Consider the following 9,760-nt stretch of genomic DNA (forward strand, 5'->3'; position numbering starts at 1 on the left):
ACCCCAAGAGAGGGTTCTTGGATCTCGTGCAAGAAAGAATTCAGGGCAAGTTTGCAGAATAAAGTGAAAGCAAGTTTATTAGGAAAATAAAGGAATAAAGAATGGCTACTCCAGGGTTGCTGGTTGCCCATTTTTGTGGTTATTGTTTGATTACATACTAAACAAGCAGTACATTTTTCAGGAGTTTCTGGGAAAGGGGTGGGCATTTCCCTGGAGTTGAGGGTTCCTCCTCTTTTTAGTCCATGTCGGGTAACTTTCTGATGTTGCCATGGCACTTGTAAACTCTCATGGCACTCGTGGGGTAGCAGTGAGGATGACCAGAGGTCACTCTCTTGGCCATCTTGGTTTTTATGGGTTTTAGCTAGCTTCTTTACTGCAACCTGTTGTATCAGCAAGGTCTTTATTACCTGTATTTTGTGCTGACCTCCTATCTCATCCTGGGACTTAGAATGCCTAACCATCTAGGAATGTAGCCCAGTAGATCTTAGCCTTATTTTACCCAGCCCCTATTCAAGATGGAGTTGCTCTGGTTTAATCGCCTTTGACAATTTCCTAGAAAAGCCCTTAATCACATCATATTATATCCAAAAATTGCTTAAGCATTTTATACAAAATAGTTGTTCATTTTTCAGAGTTTGTAAATTATACTATACGAAAATATTCTGTTACATGCTAGATTTATAATAATGTTATTTATTGGAGCAGTGGTAGCCTTCATTCTCTCCCCTTAACATACACATGCAAAATTATGAATGCACCTAGTAGGCTTTGTGAGAATTCCCATAATGAACAACTTTAAAACTACTGATCCGTTATAAAGGGTATAAACTTTGAAAATCAGCCCTGAATTCAAATGTAGTTCAGTGATTGTCTTTTTTTGCAAACTCGGACAAGTTATTTAACCTCTTGGAATTCAATTTCATTGTTTATCACACAGGAATAACTTTAAATGCTTTTCAACATTTCAGGAGAACAAAAAGATTGTGCAGATTTGCTTTCAGTTACCAGGTATCCACTTCCTGAGAATTTAAGTAATACAAGGATTCAAGTTATAGAGCACAGTGTTTTGAGAACATTCGAGAGGAGGTTCTATAAAGCAAAACAAGTTCCACAAATTGAAATGGCAAAGAATAGACTCCAGTGTACGTATCAAGGTCTGTGAAAGACCAGGGTGGAAATCTGTTTAACATTACCTGGTAGTCTAATTATATTTATGTACCTGGCATGCTTTAATTGGATTTGAGAATCTATGTATTCTGTAATAGATGTTAAGTATATTTTTAAGGACAAAAATGGTAAGCATATATGAATCCTAAGGACTAAATTTAGGCTTTAATTTTGTCATGAGAGATAATGAGAAAGATCACCTGAAGAACAAGACAATTAGGTTATCTTTTTAAGAATTAGTAGACAATGGCTTTCAATGGCACCATCTGTTTTTACTAATCCTTTTACAGTTCATAGAGAAGAGTTGAGAGTAAGGGTGAGAAAAAACATGTGTGACTCGAAACAAAAGAACAAAGGCAGCAGTGAAACCAGCAAAATATGGACAAATGCTGACTTTGAAATAAAAACATAGTATTTATAAAGAGCTGGGGTTGGTGGATTTATGACATAATTTGAAGAAGCTATTCATGTCATCCTCCGCTCCAAAAAATTTGAAATTTTCCAAGAGAAACACAATCATTTAGATTGACATAGTCCTCTTTAAGGAGGTTGAGGGGGGAAGATCACTTGAAGCTAAGAGTTCAAGACCTACCTGGGCAAGAAAGTGAGACTTCATCTTCACAAAAAACAGAAAGAAAAGAAATTAGCCAGGTGCAGTGGCATGTGCCTGTAGTCCCAGATCCTGGAGAGGCTGAAGTAAGCGAATTGCTTGAGCTCAAGAGTTCAAGGGTGCAGTGAGCTATGATCACACTACTGAACTCCAGCCTGGGTGACAAAGTGAGTCTCTGTCTCTAAAATCATCATCATCACCATCCTCCTCATCATCATCATGATAAATAAAAAGCCTAGTTCTGTATATGGCAAAAAATTAGCTTCCCTGACCCTTTGTATATAAAATTATATTATATAATATTATTTTCAGCTACAATTGAATATAGTTGTATATTATAAATATTGCATACATGTTACATATTTTGAATATTTTATAAATATTTTATGCATTTATTAAATCAGATTAATTATCAAGCTACAAGTAAAGTCAGTGGATTAAAATAGAAAGTTGTTTTGGGGGAGGTTTTACTTCATTTGCATTGCTATAAAAGAATATATGAGGCTAGGAAATTTACAAAGAGGTTTATTTGGCTTATGGTTCTGCAGGCAGTACGAGAAACATGGCACCAGCATCTGCTTCTGGTGAGGGACCCAGGGAGCTTTCAATTATGGCAGAGGGAAAGAGGAGCAGGCGTGTCACATGGCAAGACGGAGCAAGGGAGAGGAGGTGCCAGGATCTTTTTAACAATCAATTCTTGCACAAACTATGAACTCACTTGTTACTGTGAGGATGGCGCCAAGTAATTCATGAGGGATCTGCCCCGATAACCCAAACACTTCCCCCCTAAGCCCCACCTTTAACATTTTGGATTAAATTTTTACATGAAACTTGGAGGGGACAAATATCCGAACTATATCAGGGTGAAAGGTCTGAGAAGGAAGAGCCTGCAGTTGGTAAGGCTGGTTTGGCTGAGTTAACTCTGGCCAATGAAGAGTTCTAGGTAGCTGAAAAGTACTTGTGGCCTGAAGAGCAGTCAAAAGAAGGAACATAAATATATGCTTAGGTAGATGGTGAAAGAAAGGTTATTACTATGAGTCAAAACTACTTAATAAATCCATCTGGCACTCTCCCCTCAATTTTCTACAGCAAAGGCCAAGATCTCTTTGCAATTTTAAATGAGATTTTTACTAAAGTCTTTGTTGTAATGGAATGGAATCATGGCACATAGAAACTTAAAGCTGAATGGACCTTTCTTAGAGTCTACAGATCTAACAACCTTAACTACCTCACCTTTATCTCTTGTGAATACCCTTGATCATGTCTCCCCTGCCTCAAGTCTTGCTCTCTGCAACTATAAATTCCAAAGAAAGTTAAGCTAATTTTCAAAATTGCAATATTATTATGCAAAGCAATTTAGCTTTATTTTCCCATGTCATATTAGAATCTAGATTTAGCTTGGTACAAACAAAAGATGCGGTAAATGATTCTCCATTACAAAGGACAGCAATCTATCATCGAGAGTAATTTGCCTTTATATTGGCAAACATTGGCAGGAATTTTTAAAATAGCAGTTTTTCCTCTCTACTAGCAGGTAACTTAAAAAAAATGTGGTTCAGTTTCAACTATAGTACCTTGCAATACTCTGTTACATTTGCTTAACAAATAAAGAAACAACTTATAAGAATGTAATTTACCTTAATTTAATTCAACAAAAATTTATTGAACACCCAAATTATGAAACTAACACATGGTAAAACTGAAACAAGAACTGGGTCTTCTGATTCGTCATCCAGATATCTTTTTTTTCCACCCTACATTGACAGTTAAAATAAAAATACTGTTTTCAACATAATAATTCAATCGTCCATTTGACTATTCCAATTGACCTATGTTGCCAACTAAATTATATTCTGTTGAATATATTTTCACATGTGTATTTGTCTTCTATATATTCTCTTTGGTACAATGTCTCTCTGTGTCTTTGGCCCATTTTCTAATTGGATTGTTTGGCCTACTTCTGTGGGTTGTGCTTCTATTGGAAGTCAAATTTTTGGAGCCTTTATGATGTTTCTTTATTCTGATTGAATTATCTGGTGTTGCTGAGGCTTCCAGTTGTTCTTTGCTGATGCTGCATGACAGACTAAAGCAGACTAATTAGACAGGGCAGTCTGGTACCTCTAGGAGGGGGAAGGAAGCCTCCAGCCTACACTGCAGAAGAGTGTTTCTCTGTCTGAGTGCTTATTATTTCAAGATTCTTTTTGTGTGGAACAGAAACCACTTCTGAGCATGGGTGGCTTGTTGAGACAGGATCCCCTTATCCCCTTGGTCAGTTCCATAAGCTTGTCTCTGTCTCTGTATCTCCAAGCAGGGGTAAAATATCTCAGGCACAATGATAATGATAATGACTACAATGAGAAAGGAGGGCATTTCCCTGGCAGCTTATTGTCCCTATTGATCCTCCTTTTAGGTGGTGCAATCTGGCCTTCTTGTTTGGACTACCATTCAGTCCATGGGAGTAGTTAGCCTACCTGGTCTGTCCTTTCTTGCTTGGTTTGGTGTCAGGAAATGCTGGCCTGTATGCTTCTCTTCAGTTGGTTTTGTAGAGGGGGAACATAAGAAGCCCTGCCCCTATGTTCTTCCAGTTCTTAGGTCCCCAAGTTCACACTTCTCTTACCATCTTTCAGAGTTCTTCTTTGTTTGTCTCGTCTGTTAATTCCAGGATTTATAGTTGTACTCAGCAGGGAGGAGGAGGACAAGAGGAGCTATGCTATCTTATCTAGACAGGAAATCCTATACAGTACTTTACTTCTCAAACAATGTTTGCCTCATTATTCCAAATTTATAATAGGTGTTTATTGACATCCTAAAATTATATAGTTCTGGTAACTTTTTACTGGGAATCTGACAATATATTACTCTTGTCACCATCTTTTGTTTCATTGCCTTCCATGGCCCATTAATTTACTGAACTTTAAATATATATGTATACATAAATATATACATATATACATAAATATATACATATATATACATATAATATGTATATATGTTTTGTTTATTGTGATCAAGTTCAAAACCTGCCTGTTTTTGAAACTTGTCCATGAGTCACACAGATTCCTATAAAATCCCACAGATTCCTATTTCCTTTGTATATCCAAAAATTAATTATAGCCAGTCTTATAATAAGTGTTAATCGTATCTTCCTTATTCTTAAGAGTGGTCATCTTTCTAGAGCAGCGTTTCTCAACTGGGAATTATTTTGCTTCTTTCCCACCCCACCCCCACAATATCCAAGAGATATTTGGAAATTTTTGGAGGTTGATTTTTTTTTCTAACTTTGAGCCCAGTACTAGTGCATCTAGTGTGTTAAGGTCAGTGAGGCTGATAAATGTCTTACTATACAAAGGACAGACCCCCACAATAAAGACTTACCTGCTCCAAAATTTTAAAAGTGCTGAGGTTGACAAACCCTGTTCCATTTGCTAGCACAATACTTCTCCATCGTTTGTCAGAAACAAACAAGAAAACTACTTTAGTAACCCCATTTTTCTATGAAATAGAAAATGTGTTACTTTTTTTTCAGTATTTTCTTTCTCCATTCTCCCTGTTCTAAAGGGCTAAATCTTTCTACTTAACCCTTTAGACATGCGAATATAATATTTACTTTCCCTTCCCCAGGCACTCCCCACAGGGCAAGTTCATCTGTCTATGCCTCCAACATGAAATGCCTACCCACCAGGAGGTTGCTTTGAGAGATAACAATCAATTTTTAGAACAAAGGATGTGTTCTACAGAACTCACACCCACCAGGAAGTTGCCTCAAAAGATGACAGTCCCTAACAGGGACATGGATGCAGCTGGAAACCATCATACTGAGCATACTATAGCAAGGACAGAAAACCAAACACCGCGTGTTCTCACTCCTAGGTGGGAATTGAACAATGAGAACACTTGGACACAGGAAGGGGAACATCACACACCGGGGCCTCTCATGAGGTTGGGGAGGGGGGAGGGATAGCATTAGGAGATATACCTAACGTAAATGACGAGTTAATGGGTGCAGCACACCAACATGGCACGTGTATACATATGTAACGAGTTGTGCACATGTACCCTAGAACTTAAAGTATAATAATAAAAAAATTTTTTTTAAAAAAAGATAATAGTCAAAAGCATGCCTGCTACTATCTCTCTCCTGGAGAGATATTGGTGACCTTTACAACCTATTTCTACCCATGAAGACGCCAGCCTCACTGCCCAGTACGTAATGCACCAAGGTAGCATGCAGATTCCCCAACCTTGCTCACTTCCTCTCCTGACTTTTAAAAATTTCCATGTTCTGCTTCAAAAGTGAAGGGTATCCTTAAAGGCAAGAAATCTGTACCTCTTCCCCTAAACTAACTTTGGAATAAGTCACTTTCTTTGTACAAGACCTCTCTCTTGTTAATTAGACAGCGCTGAGTGTGTAGACCTGCTTTCAGTTCCAAATCAACTTGTTTTTCCTAATAGGCAAGAACTATTTACAGTCCCACATTTTCAAAGACAGTCTGGACATCTCCACTTGACTGTTTTCAAATTTGCCAAACTAATTATGTGCAAAACAAAACTTACTACTTTCCCCAATTCTTTACCCATTTTAAAAGAGTTAACTTTATCATAATCTCCTTAGTCTTTTAAATTAGAAATTAGAGAGCCAAATTCGAATTCTCTTGTCTCTAAAGCCTCACATTTAATTAGCTAATAAAATTGGTCATTTTATGATACAACCATAAAGCAATTTTAATTGCCCTTTGAAGTTTTTGACCTAAATATGTAGGGCCTTTGCACATGCCCTTTCTTGTTCATAAAATTTTACTTCCACCAACTTTCTTAACATAAAATTTTCCAACTTATGATTTAAGAACCAGATCGAGTACAATGTGCATAGGACCATTCTTGGACTCCTCTTCTTCTGAGCTTTCACAGCATTCCTATAACGCACTTCATGTTTTATTTATTCCAACATCTCCCATGCTAAGAAGTCAGATTCTGGGGAAAAAAAACCATAATTATTATTCATCTTTGTATCTCTAGTACCTACTGTGGTGCCCAGAAAAAGGATGCTGACTTACTGAGTAAATGAATTAACAGGTAGGTAATTGGACATATGTATGAATGTAGACAAATTAACACAATTCAAATTGGAGTTTATAATAGACTCCTTTGTCAATGCCAATGTTAAAAAGCCTTCTGAATTGCATTTGCTATCACAAAAAATATATAAATTATAAATTAAAAATAGATGTAAAAAAGTTAAAATATTGTTTCAATATATTGACATTTCCATCAAAGTATAAACTTTGTGAATTTTGATCTGTCAAATGTGCCCTAAGATGTTTCTCTAATCACATATGAACAAACACTACACTATATAGGCCACTCACAATAAGATTCATAAATAAATAAGTAATGGATATTTTAAAATTGTAAATTTTTGCACATCAAATTCAACTCAAGCAGAGGTAGTCATGACTACAGAATTTGACATAAACTAATATTAATAATTTCTGTTTGCTACTACAAATGTGTTGAATGTATTCTTCTTATAGAGTGATTAAAGATAACTTTTGGTTTTATTTGATGTTCTTTAAAGGTTAATCGTGATACATTTTATATAAAACATATTTTCTATATATTTTTTCTAAAATTATATTAAGGCAGCCTAGTGATTTGCTAATGTATTAATGTTTATACTTTAAATAATATGAGTGCTTCTTTTCCCATATCTAAATGTTAGAAATGTGCATTCAGGCAAAGGAAAAAATGTCCATAATTTACTCCTCAAATTTACATCCCATTTTATTGTCTCCTTAGCCATAAAGTGATCTGCAACCTATTTTTCAGAAAACATTATATTCTCCTTAGTGAAAGGGACATAATTTGAACTATAATAAGAAAATAGAAACAATTGTAAATCATTTTCAGATTATAAAAGTTTACTAATGCTAGCCTATGGTTGCCAGCATTCAGACCACTTGTTTACTCATACTCTTTACATTGGATGGTAGGTAGGAAAAAAAAGACTTAAAATTGAAACTTGTCATTTATCTTTGTTACTAATCTTCTAAAAGTGTTTCTGAAAGAAAATATCAATATATTTAATTAAGTTTCAAATTACCTATTAAATTTAGTTATTCCTATGTCCTAAACCATGCCTAATGAATTGAGAATAACAAAAATGAAGAAATTCAGAAAATGCCACCATAAAATATGATTTGGTATGTTTATTACTTTGAACTAAGTTCACTTGGGGAACAGGTAATGCAGGCAGAGGCTTTCTCAGAGCTCTGCTTGTCTACTTAAAGATAGATCTTCCAAAAAGAACTTGATTGTCATGAATCCCCTCCACAGAAATCTTGTCAACCAGGGAAGATAAATTTGGATCAAAGGAGACAAGACTATAGTGACTTCAGGCCTAGACAGACTCTCACTTGTTCTTCTGAGAGCTGCTTCAAGAGAGGTTTTATTACCTGAGAGACTTTTTATTCACATAACAAGACAACTTTTATTCACCATGCATTTCCTTCCCTTATCCTCCTGTAACTTGTTGCCACCACCACCCAGAATCCCCAAGCCCCTATACTTCTCTGTAGGTCAAGATGCTATATAAATATCAGTGATCTGACCCTTGAGTCTCATATTTTGTAAGACAGCAATGCAGATATATGTAATTAAATATGTTTTTTCCTCCTGTTAATCTGTCTTATGTCAATTTAATTCATAGTCTAGTCAAAAGAACTAGAAGGGTGAAGAAAAGTCATTATTTCTAATAAAGATGGGGTTGTGCTGTTTCCCAGGCTGGTCTGAAATGCCTGGACTCAAGCCATTCTCCCATCTCAACCTTGCAAAGTTCTGTGGTTACAGGTTTGAGTCTGTGAGCTTGGCCAAAAGTCATTTTTTGCTACCCTACAAAGACTTACCAAAAAATGACTTTTCAAAGCATAACTTCTGATTATTCAAACCTTAAAGAAAAATATTGACTAATTAGAGATATCAGTCATTCAATTAAAGTATTTCTATTTTAAATTAATAGGGAAAACAGTCTTAAATGACTAATTATTCATGATGTTTAGTGGTACACTTCCTACTTTATTTATAGAATTTTCTATATAACTTTCTATGAATGTGAATGTATTAATTTATTCATTTATTATTCCTACATTTATAAAGTACTTGTTATATTGTTGCAGGAAGTCAGCGACCCTGAATGGAGAGACCAGCTGGAGCCGCAGCAGAGGAACATAAACTATGAAGATTTCATGGACATTTATCACTTCCCTAATAATACTCTTATAATTTCTTATGCCTGTCTTTAATCTCTTAATCCCGTTATCTTCATAAGCTGAGAATGTACATCACCTCAGGACCACTATTGTGCAAACTGATTGTAAAACATGTGTGTTTGAAAAGTATGAAATCAGTGCACCTTGAAAGACAACAGAACAACAGCGATTTTATGGAACAAGCGAAGATAACCATAAGGTCTGACTGCCTGTGGGGTCAGGTAGAATAGAGCCATATTTTTCTTCTTGCAGAGAGCCTATAAACGGATGTGCAAGTAGGAGAGATATGGCTGAATTCTTTTCCCAGCAAGGAATACCCTGGGGAAAGAATGCATTCCTGGGGGGAGATCTATAAATGGCCGCTCTGGGAGTGTCTGTCTAATGTGGTTGAGATAAGGACTGAAATACGCCCTGGTCTCCTGCAGTACCCTCAGGCTCACTAGGGTGGGGAAAAACCCCACCCTGGTGAAATTGAGGTCAGATAGGTTCTCTGCTCTCAAACTCTGTTTTCTGTTAAGATGTTTATCAACATAATATGTGCACAGCAGGACATACACCTGCATCAGTAATTCTAATTTTGCCCTTGCCTTGTGATCTTTATTGCCCTTTGAAGCATGTGATCTTTGTGACCTACTCCCTGTTCGTACACTTCCTCCTCTTTTGAAATCCCTAATAAAAACTTGCTGGTTTTGTGGCTCAGGGGACATCACGGACCTAC

Source organism: Homo sapiens, chromosome X, assembly GCF_000001405.40.
Source record: "Homo sapiens chromosome X, GRCh38.p14 Primary Assembly".
Classification (NCBI taxonomy): domain Eukaryota; kingdom Metazoa; phylum Chordata; class Mammalia; order Primates; family Hominidae; genus Homo; species Homo sapiens.